Genomic DNA, 21,644 nt, shown 5'->3' on the forward strand with positions numbered 1-21,644 from the left:
TAAATACTGTTCTATGTCATTACTATTATTATTATTTTCGAGATGAAGTCTTGCTCTGTCACCTAGTCTGGAGTGCAGTAGCATGATCTTGATTCACTGCAACCTCCGCCTCCCAGGTTCAAGCGATTCTCCTGCCTCAGCCTCCTGAGTAGCTGGGACTACAGGTTCATGCCACCAGGCCTGGCTAATTTTTTGTATTTTTAGTAGAGACAGGGTTTCACCATATTGGCCAGGCTGGTCTCAAACTCCTGGTCTCAGGTGATCCACCCGCCTCGGCCTCCCAAACTGCTGGGATTACAGGCGTGAGCCACTGCATCCGACCTTCATTAAATTTAATGTATTATTTAAACTAGGATTTTTTTATCAGCTTTATTGAAGTATAATTTACATAAAAGAAAACCCAACCATTTAAAATGCACGGTTCCTGACAAAGTACAGCCTGATAAACTCATATGGCCATGGAAGCACCACCGCAATTAAACTACAGAACATTCCATGTCCCCAGAGTTTCCCTTGTGCTTCCCTGTAGCCATTCTCTTCCCACACCCCAGCGCCAGGTGACCACTCATCTCTCCTCCATCACTAGAATTTCAGAAAAATGGAATCATACAGTATGCAGTCTTTTGTGTCTGGCTTCTTCTATTTAGCCATTTGCTTCTGAGATTCACCCACATTACATGTATCAACAAGGAGAATCTTTTTAACCCCAGAAATACTCTGGCTGGAAAGTAGAAAACTATTCAGCAAAAGCTACTGTAGAAAAACACTCCAAGATGATTAAGAACTGTATTCCACCCCTCTCAAATAAGACCCTTGAACAACAAGTGATTCCTATTTTAGGACAGCAAGGAGATTGCCAAGTGATGGATACAATGTATTTATTTTTTAAATATCTTGCTAGCTAAAGACCTTTAAAGATATTTGGAGAGAGATGACATCAGAAAAAGTGGCAAAGACCTAAAAATTCACTCCTCCATAAGAGGAAAAAATAACTGAATGAAATGGTTAGAATCAAGTTGCTCATAACTCTGGAAATTAACCAAAGGCCTGCAGCAACCTTGGAAGCATTTCTTCAAGATGAAGAGCTGAATCTCGGTAAGAACAGTAGGATTTGGGGCATTTTGGCTTGCCCTAGTCCCATCCTCCATTCCTCATCTCTACAGTACCCTTGAAAAATAAAAGCTCACATGCCTGGTGCAGCCTGGAAGCCACTTGAGGGAAGGGAACAAAGCTGGATCTTTTCCAAAGTCCCATTCCCAAATAATTCTCATGATGTGACCATTCTGGTGATTCCCTAGAAGACCATACTTACAAACCTAGTTATATTTGACCTGACCCTGAGCTCACCCAGTGTGAACAGTCTTTTCCCTGGGGGTGACTGTCAAATACATTTGTAGGCAAGTGTTTTCACTTTGCAGCTGCCTAATCAGTAGATAATAGTTGGGGCAAACAATATATTAATCTAAACACTTAAAAAAAATCCTGGGGAATAAGATGCCCATAGCACTTTTGAAACGCCCCAATATATCTCTGGGAATACAGAGTGCCACATGCATGCATAGCGCTGTGCATATGCCCAGGAAAGCCCTGAGAAGGCTCTAAGCTCTCAGATGACAACTGCCTTGCAGAATGTGGAAGGTGTGCCCCAAGAGTCACACAGACCCCCTTGTCAAAGACTGGGAGATGTACTGGCTCCAGGCATTTAAAGAAATCTCTGTCCAATAACTAGGTAACTCCTAAACTAACTTGGTAGACAATTCAGTAGCCACACATGACAAAGAATAGGCTTTACAGAATTCATTCAGAAAAGTCATCAACAATAAACTATAGTGGACAAGAAGAATTTGCTTTCTAGAGGCACCACATTATATTAGTGAAAATGCCCAGTTTTCAACAAAAAAAAAAAAAGAGAAATATGAAGATACAAGAAAGCATGGCCCATATTCAGGCAAAAAAAAAAAAAAAAGCAATCAATGTAAGTGATCCCTGGCCTGGCACAGTGGCTCATGCCTATAATCCCAGCACTTTGGGAGGCTGAAGTGGGGAGATCACTCTTGAGGTCAGGAGTTTGAGACCTGTCTGGCTGACATGGTGAAACTCCGTCTCTACCAAAAATACAAAAATTAGCTGGGCATGGTGGCACATGCCTGTAATTCCAGCTACTCAGGAGGCTGAGGCACGAGAACTGTTTGAACTCTGCCAGGAGGCAAGGCTGCAGTGAGCTGAGATCATGGCACTGCACTCCAGCCTGGGCAGCAGATTAAGACTCCATCTCAAAAAAAAAAATATATATATATATATCTAGCTCACATATACATCTCATACACACACATATATATACACACATACACACACACACATATATGACCCCTGAGAAAGGCATGGTGGACTTAGAAGACAAAGACTTTAAATCAGTTATTTAAACGTATTAAAAGAACTAAAGCAAACTGTCTAAAGAACTAAAGAAAAAGATGACAATGATATCTCACCAAACAGAAAATATTAATGAAGAGATAGAAATTATAAGAACCAAATAGGGCTGGGCATGGTTGCTCATACCTGTAATCCCAGCAATTTGGGAGACTGAGGCAGGAGGACTGCTTGAGGCCAGGAGTTTGAGACCAGCCTGGGCAACATAGCAAGATACTATCATTAACAAAAAAAATACACAAAAATTAGCCAGGTGTGGTAGCACTCACCTGTAATCTCAGCTACTCAGGAGGCTGAGGCAGGAGGGAGAATCCCCTGGGCCCAAAAGTTCAAAGCTGCAGTGAGCTATGATCATACCACTGCACTCTAGCCTGAGAGACAGAACAAGACTCTGTCTGAAAAAAAAAATAACCAAATAGAAATTATAGATTGAAAAGTACGATAACTCAAATAAAAAACTCTCTATAGGGGTTAAAGAGCAGATTTGAGTAGACCAAAGAAAGAGTCATCAGTTAACCTAAAGATAGGTTAATTGAGGTTATCCAGCCTGAGCAGCAGAATAAACAATGAAGAAAAATGAACAGATCCTAAGAAGTGTGTGAGCCATCATAAAGTGTACCAAAGTGCATGCAATGGAGTATATCAACAGGAGAGGAGAGAAAGTGAAAAGGGCAGAAAATACCTTTGAAGAAACTATGGCCAAAGACTTCCCAAATTTGATGAAAGACAACAATCTACACATCCAAGCTGAATGAAATCTGAGTAGAATAAACTCAAAGAGATCCATGCCTAGACATATCATAAACAAACTGTCAAAAGCCAAGGCCAAAGAGAGAAGCTTGAAGGCAAAAGATCAGTGACTTACCACATACAAGGGGTCCAAATAAGATTAACAGCTAGTTTCTCATTAGAAAACATGCAGGACAGGAGGCAGAGCAAATGGCAAGAAAAAAAAAAGTGTAAACCAAGAATTTCATATCCAGCAAAACTATCCCTCGAAAATGAAGAAAAAATCAAGACATTACCAGATAAGCCAATGCTGAGATAATTTGTCTCTATGGAATCTGCCCTAAAACAAATAGTAAAGGAAGTCTTTTAGGCTGAAATTAAACACACACACACACACACACACACCCAGGTGCACGAGCGTGTGCAAAACTAGATAGACAGTAAATTAAACTCACATAGACATAAAAAGCATGATTAAAGATAACTACATGGATGCTATGGTTTGGATGTGGTTTGTCCCAGTCAAAACTCAGGTTGAAATTTAATTGCCAATGCAACAGTGTTTGGAGGTGGTGTCTTTAAGAAATGATTAACTTAAGTTGGATTAATGTCTTTCTCACAAGACTGGGTTAGTTCTCTGCAGAAAGGATTAGTTTTGATAAGAGTTAATTGTTATAAAATGAGGTTGCCTCTCACGTTTTTCCCTTTTTGCCTTTCCCTTTATCTGCCATGTTTGGAGGAAGCACAAGGCCCTCACCAGAAGCAGGAGATGCGATTGTCCAATCTTGAACATCCCAGCCTGCAGAACCATGAGCTAAATAAACCTATTTTTTTAAATAAATTACCCAATCTCAGATATTCTGTTATGGCAACATACAACAAAAGGTAAGACATACAGAAAACAAATAGCATACTGGGAGACATAATAATTCCTCATCAGCAATTACATTAAAAAATTAAACTCTCCAATTAAAAGGCAGAAATTTCAGAATGGATTTTAAAAACATGATCCAATTACACACTGTCTATAAGAGATTCACTAGAGTTTGTCAGTAAAAAGTAGAAAATAATATACTGTGCAAATGCTAACCAAAAGAAGTTTGAGTAACTATCCTAGTATTAGACAAAATCATCTTTAAGACAAAAATTGTTACTAGAAACAAATAAGGACATTTTATAATGATAAAGGCTTAATCATTCAAGAATACAGAACAATTATAGACATATTTGTACATAACAATTGTGCCAGAGTAGCAAAGAATTAGCAAAGAACAACATTCTGAACAGCTGAGCTGGTAGCTCTATACTGAAAAATGAGAAATGTCATTTGCCTAAATTATTGACAACCGGAAGACTGCAACCGAGATCAAGTGCACCCTAGAAAGCCACAGGTTTTCTATCCTGGCTGCATATTGAAATGATCCACAGAGTCTAAAACTATAGATACCCCGGCCCTATGCCAAGAAATCCTGATATAGTGAGTCTGAAGTAACATTTCTTAAAGTGCCCCAGGTGTTCTGAAGTGCAGGCAGGATAAGGAGACACGGGCCTAGAGTGTGAGAGCATGGGCTCTGAAACATACAGCCTGGGTTTCAACCTGAGCTCTGCCTCTTACTCGCTCCAAAAAACCTTGAACATGACTGAACCTTGCTGTACCCACATCATGGAAGAGTGTCTGGAACACATCATAGAAGACACTAAGAACAGATTTAAAAAAAAAACTATCCCAGTAATGTGAAAATACATATTCTTTATTCATGTCGCTAGTTTTCAGCATTTAGAAAGGCACTTATAAATGTTAGCCATTACTGTCGTTGTCATCATCATCATCATCATCATCTGTCATCATCATCATTTGCCCAGGACAGGCACAACTTGAGGTACCTCTGAACCCTCACAATGGACACTGAAGTTGGGGAAGAAAGAGACAAATGGCAGCTTTACCTGGTGGAAAATAAGCTCAGCTCTTCCCTCTTGAGCCTGCTTCATCCCCCAGGAAGACTAAAGTGGATCTTGCCAGTCAGCACAACAGAGCTCCCACTTTCAAAGATGGCCTTCACATTCTGGACCACGCATACTAGGGTGGAGTTTAGGAAAGGTAAACTGTGCCACCCTCCCATACCACCACACCCCCGCAAACACACACACACACACACACACACACACACACACACGAAACCAACTAATCCAACAACACCAACTTTCTACCTTCATTAACATAGTCCTTCTTTTGTAAATATAAATAGGACAATGAAAGATGGCCTGATATTGAGTGGGAAAAAAATAGCATAAATAATGACCTAGATGATTAAAGAGACCAGTTAACCTGTGGGGGGAGGTGAGAATATCTGATAAACAGAATTCTAATTAATATACTTGAAGGAGATTGCACCCATTAAATGAGTGTTTCATAAAATGTGAACATATTGCTATGAAAAAAAGCAATTAGAGAAAAACACAGTTCTTAGAAAATAACATAACTGTCTGTCAAAATAAAAAATTCAACAGAATGATCAAACAGTAGAATGGATACAGCTGAAATCCAAAGTAGTTATCTAGAAAATAAAATAGAAGTGCCCCAGAAAGTAAAGAAAAAGAGAAAGAAAACATTAGAAAATGTTAAGAATCCCATAGGATCAATTTAGAAGGTAGAGCATCTATCCACTAGGAATTCAAGTAAGAGAAGGCAAAAATAAATAAATAGATAGATAGATAGATAGATAGATAGATAGATAGATAAAGAGATACAATCAAAGAATTAATGGAAGAAATTTCCCCAACAATTTTTCTTGAACTATCCAATAGACGAATAACTAGAACTAGTTTAATAATTCACTATGGTCTGTGATAAACAAGTATGAGATCAATACACATAATTTTTCCAGAAATTATGGCAGAAAATACAGTTGGTTCTTGAACAACACAGGTTTGGACTGCATAGGTCCACTTACACATGGATCTTCTTCTACCTCTGCCACCCCTGAGACAGCAAGACCAACCCCTCCTCTTCCTCCTCCTCCTCAGCCTACTCAACTGATGACGATGAGGACGAAGGCCTTTATGATGGTCCACTTCCACTTAATTAATAGTAAATACATTTTCTATTTCTTAGGACTTTTTGAAATGATATTTTCTTTTCTCTAGCTTACTTTATTGTAAGAATACAGCATATAATACATCTAACATACAAAATATGTGTTAGTTGACTATGTGATCAGTAAGGCTTCCAGTCGGCAGTTGCTTACTTGTAGTTAAGTTTTTGAGGAGTCACACATTATATGCAAATTTTCAACTACATGAGGGGTCAGTGCCCCTAACTGCCATGTTGTTCAAGGGTTAACTCTATATCCCCATCTCTAAATATTATAGATATTATTTTCCAGGAATTAATCTATAAAATCAATGCAATCACAAAATCAAATCATGGCCACTGTGTAACTTTACAAACTCATTCTAAATTTATTGAAGAATGCACAGAAGAGCAAATAATATGTGAAAATAAGTCATTTGACTTATTATAAAGCTGGACTAGTTAAAACAATGTAGTGTTGTCTTAGAAATGAACTGATAGATTCATTACACAAAATAAAGATTAACAAACAGACCCATATCTAGCAGTGAGGTGGTGGAAAACATTTCAAATGGCAGGAGAAATACTGAATCGTTCAAAAAAAATAATATTGGGAAAATGGTCATCCGTTAGGAAAAGATAAAGTTAGAGTCTTCATACCATATGTAAAAATAAGCTTTGATTCAATTAAACATAAAAAGAAAAATTAAACATTTTAGAAATAAACAGGTGAATAATTTCAGAATTATGGTCCAAGAGAGATCTTTTACAGTGTATATTTTAAAAAGACACTTTGTTAAAAATTAAAAGACAAACAAACTGACAAGACAAACTGGGATAAAATATTAGTCACTTAAAACAGAAAAGTATTATGATCTTAAGAAAAATAAAAAGAAAAAATAAAAATAAAAATAAGGAAATGAGGAGAGGTCCCCTCCAAGGAGGGACAGTGACAGTGAAGGAGAGGAGTGATTTGAAAGACTAGAAGGTAAGAAAATGACATATTAATAATTTGGTTCAATATATTGAATCAGGTCGGGGTGAGGAAGGAACCAAGGGAACCTGAGTTTAGGTTTTAGAATAAGGCAACTGAAGGAAAGGGAGAAACATTCCTAATGAGATAGGGGAGCAAAAAGAAATTAGTTTGGGTTTGGAGTAGATTGAGTTGGGGTCCTTGTAGGATAAATGCTAACATGGAGGCTCCTCCAGTTTAGTCTCACTAGGCAGATTCATTTGAGTTAACAAAAAACTAAACTATAGACCTCATGTGAAAAATTATAAGATTGTGTTGTGTTTCTGTTTTGCTTTCTTTTCATTCTCTTTATTATTTTTTTATTTTGCTTTCTTTTATTTTTATTTTTATTGTCTCCTACTTGAGTTGCTTTATTGAATCTTCTTTTGTAGACAAATAAGAATCATATAATTGTTTGGATTTAAATGGTTATTTTCAAATTGCTTAAGGGTATTCGAAAACAACTTCTTTCCTTGCAATTTTTAAAATGTCCCTTTCTAATTGCTTACATGTTAATACAGTCACACAACAAAATAATATGCAACTGTTTAAAACAGTTTGTACTAAGAAATATTAGTGAATGGAGCAACAGTCATGAAATACTCCTAAGCAGAAAAAAAAAGGCAGGTTACAAAATAGGTGCACTATGAATCTAATTTTCATAAAAATATGTACGCATCTGTGTATGCATGGGGAAAAATGGAAGGCAAAACAGCAAAATATAATTGTCTATCTCTAAGTGTTGGGATCTGGGATGATTTTTAAAAATTGTCTTGTGTTTTTATGCATTTGCTAAATTCAAAACAATGAATATTTAATATACTAGAGTTTAAAAATTAAAAAAAAGAAATCTCACACATCAATGTAACACAGTCTCACAGAAAAAATATGTACAAGCAATTCATGGAAGAAATTCAAATAGGTAATGGAATCTTATTCTTTGTTTCGTTTCGGTCCCATCTATTCTTTGTTTCCTTTTTCCTGTTTTCTGCCTTCTTTTGCATTAATTGGATATTTTTTATTATTCCATTCCATTTCCTTTGTTGGTTTCTTAGCCAACTCTTTGGGGTTTTTGGTTTTATTTTGTGGTTGCTTTAAGCTTTACAGTATACAACTTTAATTTATCATAGTTTACCTTCAGGTGACATTAGACTTCATCAAGTATAGTCTAAGAATCTTACATTGTATAGTTCCATCCGCCCTCCTTTACAGTATTTTCACACAATTACTTATTCAAATGTTATAAACCCCACAATACATTGGTGCATTTTTTTTTCCTATTTTTGGTTCTTTGCATGCATTCAGCTTCTTGAATCTGTGGGTTTCTAGTTTTTATTCCATTTTGAAAAAAAATTACTACTATTTCTTCAAGTATTTTTTCTGTTTGCCCTCACTCCTTATTCCACATATATTAGTGTTTCTGGAAATTATTCCACAAAGCTCTGTGATTTTTTTCCATATTTTTGTTGAAAAAATGTTTTTTCTCTGTGTTCTTCATTTTGGAGAATGTATATTGCATTGCAATGCCTGTAAGTCCACTAATCTTTTTTCTTGTCTCAAATCTGCCATTAATCTCATCCAGTGAATTTTTTTCTCTCTTACATTGTAGTTTTCATCAGTAGAAGTTCAACTGGGTTTTTTTTATACCTCCATGTGTCTACTTAACTTTTGGAACATACAATTTTAATAACTGTAATCTTTGATTAGATGATAGACATTAGGAATGTTATCTAGTTGGTGCTGGATACTTTTGTATTCCTATGAACGTTCTCAAACTTTGCTCTGGGACACAGGTAAATTACTTGGAAACTATCTGATTCCTTTGGATCTTGCTTTTAATATCTGTTAGGCAGAACTGGAACAGCATTTAGCTCAAGGCTAGTTATTCTCCACTACTGAGGTAAAACTCTTCTGCATGCTGTATACAATGCCCAGGTGAATCATGAGGTTTCCAATCTGGATGGTGGGAAAACCCTAATTTTGTGACTGGCACTTTTGTCTCTAGTCCTCTCAGATAGTTCTTTCATGGCCTCAGTTTCTCTACCTACATGCAAGAGCTGATCAGTAGCAGCTGAATATTCACAGGGCTTCCTCTCCAAATCTCCAGAACCCTCTACTTGAGTAAGTCTTTCCTCTCTGGCACTTTGTTCTGCAAATTCTAGCCACCTTGGACTCCCAGGCTCAGTATAGCCTCCTTAACTCAGCAGGACTGCCAGGCTCTTCCCAGGTTCCTGTGCTGTGGCCTAGAAACCTTCTCACAACAGGAGGCTGCAGCAATCCATCCCCAGAGGATCCAGAGGCACACCTTTCTCTACAGTTATGAGAAATAAATACGCGAGAGGAACCTCAGCATCCCTGAACTCTTCCTGGAGGCCACAAATTACAGTTGGAATTTCTGTGCTGCCATCTAACTAGGGTCCCTAAATGCAATGAAGATGATGAGACCCCAGGGTTGCAGGGGCCAGGTGGCAGCTCTTAATTGCCAAAGGCATGGTGGATGTGGTTACTGTGAAGCACAGAGAGCCAAAGCAGCCATCAGAGTAGACTGGCTCACCGAGATCTTTGGTGTTGGCTCTGAAAAGCCCTGTTTCTCTGATTGAGCCGTGATGGATACACGTTTCTGTCTGGGTTGATAAAGCTTAGCAATAAAAATAAACCACCATCTGAGTAAGGCAAAAAGCCAGATCCCTCAAACAATGTAATATAAAATGCAAACAATACTAAACACATTATTGGATCTATATGGTACTCATATTCCCATAGATTAGTGCTTCTTAAAGTAGATTTACTTTGCTTTAAAAAAAAAAACTGTCCTAAACTGTAACTAATTTGTTATTGGTAAAAATAAATTCTAAAAAATGTTTTCAACTCCATGGTTATTAGTTTCTCAACAGTATTAGTTATTATGAATAATCTAATATCCAGTTCAGTGCTACTGTACTCAAGGTTTTAAAACTTATACCGCCTGTGATTGTGGGAGACTGTTTCCATTATTCATACATAAGCCATCACAAGATGGTTCACTGAATCTTTCAAAAAATCATCTAATCAGAGCTATATAATCTGATTTCTAATTGGCATCCAGCATAATATAGAACCCGTTATAGTTTAATGTAAGGAAGACAATGATCTCAATCATAGAAGACACTAAGAACAGATTTAAAAAAAAAACTATCCCAGTAATGTGAAAATACATATTCTTTATTCATGTCGCTAGTTTTCAGCATTTAGAAAGGCACTTATAAAACACTATGGTAAACACACACACACACACACACACACACACACACACAGCATTTCCCTTCTTCCCCTCCGACATTGCATTCGCCAGCCTACAAAGGGAGGCCTCCCTCACTGAGTGCTCACAGTGAGCTGCTGCTCCCCTCTCTTTGCCCTCCCGCACATCAGTCACTCCGGCAGGGACTGTACAGCTCTCCTTCATCTCGCTCTGTGTGTCTGTAAGCGCAGAATGATGAAAAGAAGGAGCTGCAGCAGGGCTCCGGATGGCCTTGTGCTTGGGAGCCCTGCAGAGGAAAGCTGCTGCCAGGAGAGCAATGGCAGCACCAAAACGCTCCAGCAGCAGGGGCCACTCATGCCTGTACTCAGCCAGCCAGGCCTGCAGGGCGAATGGAGTGGCTGCAAAGACCTTGGAGCTGTGGGCCCAAAACTGCTTCTTCTCACTATCCTGAGGGATACGCCCCTTTCAGAGAGGGCAACTGACTGTGTGGTGTTTATGGAAGGAGTTGGGGGGAGGGCAGGCCAGTGTGCCCCCCTGGGAATGAACTAGAAAACTCACTGCTGCATCTTTAGTTGACACCTCCAGGAAGAAAAAAAAACAAATCATTAGCACAGACAATAAAAGCAGGAGCTTTTATTTTAAAAATCATTGAAATCAAGACTTCAAGTCATGCTAGTGCTAAGTCCCAGGGCAGGGTACTTTGCTTTCTAGGTCTTCCTTTCCTTGCATAAGGTCTCACACGTCATCTGGAAAACCTCAGTTCCATTTTGTGGTCCCTGGGAAACCATGAAGGGCTTAACGAAGGGGAGTGACACAGGCTGGCAGACACTTTACATACCACCCACGGCATCTGTGTGTGTGTGGAGAACGGATTGGAGAAGAGCCAGCTTTTTGGCACACAGATCTGTTAGGAGGCTACTATATGAGATGCCAGGCAAGGACCTGCCCTAGAATGGTGGCTCAAGGCAGAGAGAAGACAGGGGCAGCTGCATACAAATAAAATGAGTCACGGCCAGGCGCAGTGGCTTACACCTGTAATTCCAGCACTTTGGGAGGCCAAGGTGGGCGGATCACGAGATCAGGAGTTTGAGACCAGCCTGACCAACATGGAGAAACCCTGTCTCTACTGAAAATACAAAAATTAGCTGGGCGTGGTGCGCACACCTTTAATCCCAGCTACTCAGGCAGCTGAGGCAAGAGAATCGCTTGAACCCGGGTGGCAGAGGTTGCAGTGAGCCAAGATCGTACCATTGCCCTCCAGCCTGGGCAACAGAGTGAGACTCTGTCTCAAAAATAATAATAATAATAATAATAATAATAATAATAATAATAAAAAAATGAGCCACAAGGAGAGAGCTTGTGAATAAGTATGATGGGTGAGGAAGGAGAAGGATGTCTGAGTGTCTCCCCAGTTTCTAGAATGGGTAGGCGGTGGTGTCATCAACTGAGACAGAAAATACAAAGGGACAAGAAGATGAGGTTGAAGGAATGTAAGTCATGTGATACCTAATTAGAGAAGAAAGATAATGTCCACACAGACTACAGTTGGCTGGAACAAAGGAGGATTTGGGAGTCAGAGAGGTTTGGGTTCAAGTCCTAGCTCATTACTTAAGGTGTGGAAGCCTTGGCCTCGCTTTAAAAACCTTTTTTAAAAAAACTCTTTTGAACTTTAAAAACTCTTAAAAAAAAAAAAGAGTAGGAAAACCTACTCTTGCCAGGACTGTTGTGAGGATAAGGACATACAGGTCCCACTCGATGAATGGTTACCATCATTGTTTACAGTATTTTCTTTGGTATTATTCTGGATAGAACATCTTTGGTCACATTTCCAAAACTCTGCGGTGATGGTTCCTGATGGTTCCTTAGTCAACTCGGCTAGACCACAGTACCCAGATATGTGGTCAAACACTAGTTTGGATGTTGCTGTGAAAGTATTTTTGTAGATGAGATTAAGTTTTAAGTAGACCTTGAACAAAGCAGATTACCCTCCATAATGTAGTGGGCTGCAACCAGTCAGTGGAAAGAAGAGAAAATGACGGACCTGCTACAGGGAGGAGGGAATTCCACCTGCTGCCTCCCTTCAGGCTAAAGCTGCAGCCTCAGCTCTTCCCTCCATCTCCAGCCTGCGGGCCAGCACTGCAGACTTTCGAATTGCCCGTTCCCACAACTGCGTGAGCCAATTCTTTAAAATAAATAAATCTGTCTATATACATATACATACATATATAAAATTTATAACCTAGATATATATATACATCTGTGTATGCGTGTGTATATCTATCTATATCTGCCTCTATATCTGTATATCTCCCATTGGTTATGTTTTTCTAAAGCACCCTAATAGAACTTTATATTGTAGATTTTCCTTGCATCTATTGTGAATGCCTTTACTCCTCATAAAGCCAAAGCCGAGGCTATCTCAATGGTCATGATTCAGAGAGTGAGTTTTTGCTAATGAACCAAAAGATTGCACTGTTGTGGTCAACACAGCAGAAGAACATTCTCATGGTACAGATAAAAAACTACCCAGCAAAATCCATACACTTCCGTCTGCAGTGCAGAACTGCCTCTGGGAAGTGCCTGTCCAGAGAGGCAGTGCCTGCCACAGGTTCCTAGATGGGCCTCATGACAGGCTCTCCTGAATGGCTTGAAAGGCAAGCAATGAATGTCAGTTTCAGGCCAAGAAAATTAAACTGCTAGGGTTCCTTTTCTGTTCTCTATTCCCTTTCACTGACTTGCCAGGTCCCTGAGCCCCTCTGTGAAGCCTGCCACAGGCCACGCCTGACCTGGACAGGGGCCAGGGTAGCCTTGCCCTGAACTGAGCCACTGATAGTCAGGAGGTTGCTCCAGCAATTAGTGTCACCCTAATGATACCCTAACCTCCCTACATAAGGCAAGGAAGTCAGTCAAGCCACATGAACCCCTTCTCCTCTGCCTGGGGCTTGGGAAGAAATTAGTCCATGGAAGGTCAGTGCTGACCACCTCCCAGAGAGCAGACTGGCCCTGCTCCAACTATGCGGCAGGGCTGGGGAGCGAGCACTCTGAACATTCTACTCCTGTAGGTCCAGCTGCTGCTACATCCCCCCACTGGGATGAGTCCTGAGACCCCAGCCTGCTTCCCTGGCTTCCCTGGGACACTCCTCAGCCACCACCATAAGGGGTCCTAACTCCTCGTCAGCTATAAGCTTATGCATCCTGCATGGTAAAATGCCCAGCCCTGTGAGATTCCTGATGCTGAGGCCAGGGCTGGGGGTGGCGCGCGGGGGTGATTGGGTGATGGACGTCATTTCTCTCTTGTCTTTTCATTCACACACCCACTCTGCGGAAGGCGGCTTTTCCTTTGTTTAGAGAGCTTAATCTGTCTGCACCATGAAGGTGGGTGTGGAGTGAGGAGGCAGCTGTCCCCATGTCACTGAAGGCAGCGCAGTCACCACACTGCATACCCCGAGGATGTCAACCCCACAGTCAGCCTATTCACTGCATTTCCCCTTGGCACCAAGAGCCAGCTTCAAAATAATCCAGCAAGGGGCTGGGGGGAGGTGGGGGGTGGGGAGATAGTGACAAAACAAGATGGGCCAGATGTTGGCATCTGTTGAAGCCAGAAGAGGAGTACACAGGGGTTCATGACAGCAGTCTGTTTACTTTTACGTATGTTTGAAAAGTTCTAAATAAAAATATTTTTCTAAAAGGAAATTCCTTATATGAGCCGAGATACAGCAGAAGAGGAGCCTCACCTGACTCTAAGGCCACTCCTGTCTTCCCTGATACCATTTCAGGGCGTCATGGTTACTCTCATGAAGGAAGAGGTGTTTTTAATAGACAAATGTGGGTTATTTTTCTATTCCCATTAATATTTACTACATGTCATTATCTCCAAGTCTAATCACTTAAAGAGGAGATTTTAAATAATTGATTAATATAAAAGAAGAAAAATGCCACGCTGTCTTTTTCATTATCTATCAAAACCCAGAAAACCTCTTCCTCTAGTCCTGACACAGACACATACATATATTAATGCATACACTGAGAAGAACAGGCATACAAATCAATAGACACAAATCTGCTCAGGGCATTTTTCCGAGGGAAAAACCATTAACCTCTCTCCATCTCCCGCGTGGCCTGCTCCTCAGCACAATGCCACGGCAATTCAAGTAACTCTTTTTATTTTACTCACAGAATTTTAGGGTTCCCCCAAAAACACAAAAATCTAACATTTCTTGAACTCTGATAACATATATTTTGCTTGTGCGATCATACATATGCATGTATAGTGCATAAACAGGCTTTAATGTCTAGATGAAATGCATGCATCCACACTTTTTTTTTTTTTTTTTTGAGATGGATTCTCTCTCTGCACCAGGCTGGAGTGCAGTGGTGTGGCGCGATCTCGGCTCACTGCAACCTCTACCTCCCGGGTTCAAGCAATTCTCCTGCCTCAGTCTCCCCAGTAGCTGGGATTACAGACACCCGCCAACATTCCCCGGCTAATTTTTCTAATTTTAGTAGAGATGGGGTTTCACCATGTTGGCCAGGCTGGTCTCGAGCTCCTGACTCATTATCTGCCCGCCTCGGCACCCCAAAGTGCTGGGATTACAGGCGTCAGCTGCGCCAAGCCGCATCCACACTTTTAAAATGCCCTTGTTGGCCAGGCGCAGTGGCTCATGCCTGTAATCCCAGCACTTTGGGAGGCCAAGGTGGGTGGATCACGAGTTCAGGAGTTCCAGACCAGCCTGGCCAAGATGGTGAAACCCCATCTCTACTAAAAACACAAAAAAATTAGCCGGGCATGGTGGCAGGCACCTGTAATTCCAGCTATTCAGGAGGCTGAGGCAGAGAATCATTTGAACCTGGGAGGCAGAGGTTGCAGTGAGCCGAGATCATGCCATTGCACTCCAGGCTAGGTGACAGAGCGAGACTCTGTCTCAAAAAAAAAAAAAAAAAAAAAAAAAGCCCTTGGTTCACGCTCGGTCCTTACAGGAGGACAGCAAAACAAAACAAACACAAAGAGGATGCCCTCGGAGCATCTCAGCAAGACACTGAGGAGCGCTCTCAGAAGCACCTCCCATGAGAAACACAGTGCTTCTCACAAGCCCATCAGCATTCAGCAGTGAGATTTTATCAAGCTCTGCTTCCCGCTGCCTGAAAAGAAGTTGGAATTCTCTTCGCCACTGCCTCCAACCTGCTCACGCATCTGAAGGTGGAACCCTGCTCCAAGGCCACCTGGAGACGCAGGTGCCACTTACCACAAGGGAGAGAGGCCTCTTCCAGGAGACGACACCTATGAGTCCCGACAGCAGCACCTGGAAGGACAAAAGATACAGGAAGGTGAGATGCTTCCGAAACCTTGCATGGGCAATCAAAACACTGTGAACCGTTTCAACCCGGAGAAGGACGTGTGGAACACAGCACACACACAGTGGCGGGGCTACCATGAGCTGCATTTTCACAGCTTGCACCCACTCTGAGAGGCACATTGGTCTCTCAGGGCACCAGGGTGCTATGGAGGGGTCACTTTGTGCACTGCACTAGGTGGCCCGAGAGTGACAGGCTTTCTGAAACACCCCACCCTGGTCCTCGATGTGATTTGGCTGTGCTAGGCACACGCTTGTATTCCTAGCTACTCGGGAGGCTGAGGCACGAGAATCACTTGAACCTGGGAGGCAGAGGTTGCAGTGAGCCAAGATCACACCACTGCACTCCAGCCTGGGAGGCAGAGCGAGACTCCATCTCAAAAAAAAAAAAAAAATCACAGAGAACACTATTTGGGGAAAAGGCAAATGCAACCCCACCCACGGGCCACCTGGCCACCTGCCATGGTTGCATGGACCCTGGGCATGGCAGACCCTGCAGGCTCCTTCTGCCCTATACACACTTGGCTCCCCTGATGCACACCCTTCTCTCCCCTCCAGCCCCTGCGAGCCCCTCCCCTTCACTCATCACAGCTTCCCACCTCACCCGTACATAGGCAGTGTCTTCTGATGAGGCTCCAGAACTTTCTAGGCCCTGACTCCAAGCAGCCCACTCCTTTCCCAGGCCAAGTCCTGCCCTTGACCTTGCCTGGGGTCTCACCAGAAGTCATCCCCTCTCTCCTGCCTCCTCCCTACTGTCCTGATCACATGAATACACTGTGACTTCTGTCCCTTAGAAGAACCACTGCTTAGCCCTGTGTCCAGCTCCTGGCCTGCCTGTCTCCTAGGCGGCCTCCTGAGGCCAGGCAACCTGAGGATGACACTGGCTCTGATCCCCACATTCCTGATTTCCTGGTGTCCAGGAAGGGCCAATGGATCATGAAGACACAGTCACTTCCCACCCACTACCATCTATCTGGCTTCAGCCCCACAACTCCAAGGAAACTTCTCCCAAGGTTCCCCAGCAGTCACCAAGTGCGACAGACAAAGCTCGGTCCCCATCACCCGGCTGAGGGCTGAGGCTCCCTCCCATCTGGGCTCCTGTGGCTTCTCACTCCCCTGCGGTTCTTCCCACTTCCCAGGGGCCGCTCTCCTCCACAGCCTCCCTCCTGGCCTCCTCCCTCTCCCCAACCTCTTCCTGGTTTCCCAACACCTGTCTCCTGAGCCCTTTGTCTCCTCTCCCCAGGGCTCTGTGGTGGCTGTCCTGAGGCTCCTCGAGTACCATCCACTGGTATCTGCACAGGTGATTCTCAGCCCAGGGCTTTGCCATGGCCACGGCATCACACCGTCCACAGGCTCTGCTCCTGGCATCTGTCCAACCCAACATGTCCAAAAATGCAGCTGCAGCCTCCACCTCAGAAGCCCACACTTCCTCTTGCAACCTCTGCTCTCCACAAGAGTACCTCTTCTTCCCCGTCACTCAAGCCGAAATCCTGGAGATCTTTCCCTCTCCCTTACCCCCATGTCCAACCAGGGAGGAACAGGAGGCTAAGGCTCACTCAACAGGGCAGCATGTGAGAAGGCCGAATTAAAAGGAAGGTGTTTGCAGACCAGGTCTCCTGTGAAGACAAATTGCTCACGCTTGCCACTGTGGGCACAAGCCAGGCATCCGGGCACTGGCTGGAAGGGCTTGGCTGCATGTCCCCTGAGACTCCAAAAGCACTGGCCAGACCCGGGAGGAGGGCATGATGCTGACAAACTCACAAGGTACCCTTGGTCACAGACTGCAGTTCACCCTCAACCACCTCCACAGGGGGCAGAACCAGGTCTCAGACACAGCAGCCACTATCACATCCTGCACCATGCTAGTCTAGTATCAAAAACATCTGGCCACAAAACAACAAAACAACAACAAAAACATGAACCAAAGCACGCACACCAGGGCTCTGCTCCCAAGCCTCTCACACGTGTATTTTTTCTGCAACGCTCACAAGTCCTCCAAACACAGTTACCGGCGACAGACATTATTTACAGCCATTTCCCACCGCCCGGGTCCCCTCCCATGGCCATGCCACCCAGGCTCCTTGCCTCGCAGTCCAGTTCCAGCCCTAGGGAAATCCTTGACCAATGTCTCTCGTGTCTCTCAGGGGCTGTGTCTCACTAACTCTCCTTCCAAATGCCCCTGAAACCTCTCTCTTGCCTTCTGTACCCAACATTTGAACCCAGTGGGCACACCATGTTCCCATGTCATTTCACAGTCAGAGGACACCGGCCTTTCTTGGAAGGAGATGACCATTCCCGCCGGAGCTCTCACCATCATTTCATGTTTGACATTTCAGACCCTGACTTCACTCCTCCACACCCACTTTCTTCTTTTTGTGAATTCAAAATTTCTGACCATAATGCCATCATGTTTTGAGCTCATGGTATATAGTTCAGGGGCCACTCCGTCACTAAGCAGGATCCATTCTTCTGCTCAGCACCCTCCATTTCCCGGTTCATCTCTCTGCCCTCTGCCGGCACGCTCCTGTTTCACCTGCCCGATGACAGCCTTGTCCACTCGCTCTTGTCTCCACCTCCTCCCTCCCCACTGAAGCCATCCTGGATGCCTCCACCAAACAAACCGCATCACCCTGGCCTGACAATTTAGACCACAAAGCTAGGTCCCTGATTTTCCAGCACTGGAGGCACCTCCCTTGGTGGCCCCACTCCTGTCCAGGCCACTCTGGGCACCTCCAGGGAGGCTGGCAAGGGAGGAAACTGCACAGCAGCCACTGTGTGACTCACCTACAAGCCACAGAGCTCTGTGGGCTGTCTTCCCTCCACACCCAACCTCCGAGACAGCCCCCATCTTCCAGCACTCCCTTCCTGTCCCCAGCCCTCCCGGCCCCAGCCTCAGCCCCCGACTCTTCTTATCCCTCAAGTTGAGGGCCACATTCCGGGGCTCTGGCTCTGACTCTGCCATCTGCCTAGGATGAAACTTCCAAAAAGTGTCTTCCATTTTTCCACACGCCCCAACACTGGCCTCACGCAGACTAAGCCTGGACAGATGGTGAGAAGAAACATCCCCTAGAAAATGGCGTCTTCTACTTCCCATGTCTACCAGATGAAATCTTACCCGTTCTTCAACCATGGCCCCACCCTCCTCACTCACGAAGAGCCTAGGAATTCAAGAGCCCAGGGGGCCCATCAGATCCCCAAACTACCACCAGAGTCCTGCAGGCATCTTTAATAAACTCAGATTGAACGCCTTGACCTCTTCTCAGCTGAAGTGTATTAAACTATCAAAATTCTACAGTGACTAAGTCGCTTGTAGCAGGAATTTCACTGGAAGTACATAAAACTTCCAAATCGTAGCCACTACTCCACCTACTTCTAAGCCTGAAGGAAGTTAATATTGCTTTTATCTTATTAAGCTACAGGGAGAGTTCTTGACCTTCCCCATTCCCATAAGCAAAGCTATCATTCCACAAATCCCCTCACAGAATTTGACTTTCAACAAACACGGGTGACTTGCTCACTGAAGACAATGTGCATTTCCAAGTATCATTAATAACTACAACTAGGAATGGATCAAATTCTCCTACACAAAGCAAAAGAATAAAGCCATTAAACTTGGCGTGGCAGGCAGAATTCTAAAATGACCCCTGGTGACCCCTGGCCTTACAGAATGCTCTCCCCTGAGTAAGAATATGATGGGCTGTCACTCTTGTGGTCTTCCCCCAGGGACATGTTCAAATAACATGGCCCCAGCAACACTCTGGTTGCAGCCTTGTGAAACCTGGCCAGGTGACTCTTCTATGGGAGGGGGGCAAGGAAATGCTGGGTAGAGAAGGGTGGGGTGCCTGGCGAGGGCTCCACCCTCAGGCCTGTGCCCATGGACCTAAGTGAGAACGGGCAATCCTGTTTTCATGCCCAAATGTTGCATCTTCCAAGACCACTCTGGCCTCCCATGCCCCCCATCCTGTGCCCATAAAAATCTGAGACCATAGTGGGCATGGACACAAGCAGCTGGATGTTGAAAGGAGGAGAAGGGCACACCAACAGACACCAGCAGACACTGGCAGGCCACTGACGGCGGGATGACACAGAATTTGGTCGAGGGCAGTCGGAGGAGAGTCCAGCCACTGGCCGGCCTGACTCCAGGGGAAGACACCTTCCCACTCCATCCCCGTTTTGCTCCCCATCCACTTCGCTGAGAGCTACCTCCACCACTCAATTAAACCTCGCACCCATCCTCCAAGCCCATGTGTGATCTGATTTTTCCTGTACACTAGGGCAAGAACCAGGATACAGAAAGCCCTCTGTCCTTGTGATAAGGCAGAGGGTCTAACTGAGCTGATTAACACAAGCTGCCTGCAGATGGCAAAACTGAAAGAGCACTCTGTAACACACACCCACTGAGGCTTTGGGACCTGCAAACACTCAACCCTAGACGATGCCGTGGAGATGGAGCCCCAAAACACTCCCCAAAACCTACCCATCTTCATGTTCCCCCTTGGAGTTTGAACAGCGGGGCACCGAAGAAGCGAACCACACCCTTGTCACACGCCCGGTGAGGCGGATAAGGGAACTCCTCCGGTTTCAACTCTACTAAGCAAGGTCCAGACTCCTAACCCAAGAAAACTATGAGGTATTAAGTGAGTGTTGTGTCAAGCTGCAAAGTTTATGGTCATTTGCTACACAGCAACAGAAAACAATTGTTAGGGACTAAATGTATGTGACCCCCCAATTGGAGATGTTGAATCCCTAACCCGCAATGTAATGGTATTTGGAGATGGGGCCTCTGGGAGGTGATTAGGATTAGACTGGGTCATGAGGATGACGCCTTCACAATGGGACTGGTAGCTCTACACGAGGAGAAAGCGAGCTCTCACGCTCTCCGCACACACACAATGAGGCAGACCATTCAGAGTGCAAGTCAGTTATTGGTGTATAAAAATGCTTGTGAATTTTGCACATTGATTTTGTATCCTGAGACTTTGCTGAAGTTGCTTATCAGCTTAAGGAGATTTTGGGCTGAGACCATGGGGTTTTCTAAATATACAATCATGTCATTTGCAAACAGGGACAATTTGACTTCCTCTTTTCCTAATTGAATACCCTTTATTTCTTTCTCCTGCCTGACTGCCCTGGCCAGAACTTCCAACACTATGTTGAATAGGAGTGGTGAGAGAGGGCATCCCTGTCTTGTGCCAGTTTTCAAAGGGAATGCTTCCAGTTTTTGCCCATTCAGTATGATATTGGCTGTGGGTTTGTCATAGATGGCTCTTATTATTTTGAGATACATCACATCAATACCTAATTTATTGAGAGTTTTTAGCATGAAGGGCTGTTGAATTTTGTCAAAGGCCTTTTCTGCATCTATTGAGATAATCATGTGGTTTTTGTCTTTGGTTCTGTTTATATGCTGGATTACATTTATTGATTTGCATATGTTGAATAACAGACAAAAAGAGAGCCAAATCATGAGTGAACTCCCATTCACAATTGATTCAAAGAGAATAAAATACCTAGGAATCCAACTTACAAGGGATGTGAAGGACCTCTTCAAGGACAACTACAAACCACTGCTCAACGAAATAAAAGAGGATACAAACAAATGGAAGAACATTCCATGCTCATGGATAGGAAGAATCAATATCGTGAAAATGGACATAATGCCGAAGGTAATTTATAGATTCAATGCCATCCCCATCAAGCTACCAATGACTTTCTTCACAGAATTGGAAAAAACTACTTTAAAGTTCATATGGAACCAAAAAAGAGCCTGCATTGCCAAGTCAATCCTAAGCCAAAAGAACAAAGCTGGAGGCA

General features: G+C 43.5%; 1 protein-coding gene across 7 annotated transcripts in view; it reads right to left on the reverse strand.

Moving 5' to 3' along the window:
- Window positions 1-21,644, reverse strand: part of ENTREP2 (endosomal transmembrane epsin interactor 2) — a 557,698-nt gene that overhangs the window by 248,341 nt on the left and 287,713 nt on the right. For all 7 annotated transcript variants that reach the window (NM_001387217.1, NM_001387215.1, XM_047432323.1 and 4 more), the window contains exon 2: window positions 15,723-15,779. Coding sequence is in view for 4 of the 7 variants with exons in the window: in XM_047432323.1 (XP_047288279.1) it covers window positions 15,723-15,779 (57 nt within the window). In the remaining 3 variants the exon portion in view is untranslated. The remainder of the gene's footprint in view (window positions 1-15,722; window positions 15,780-21,644) is intronic.

This window comes from Homo sapiens, chromosome 15 (genome assembly GCF_000001405.40).
Source record: "Homo sapiens chromosome 15, GRCh38.p14 Primary Assembly".
Taxonomy (NCBI): Eukaryota; Metazoa; Chordata; class Mammalia; order Primates; family Hominidae; genus Homo; species Homo sapiens.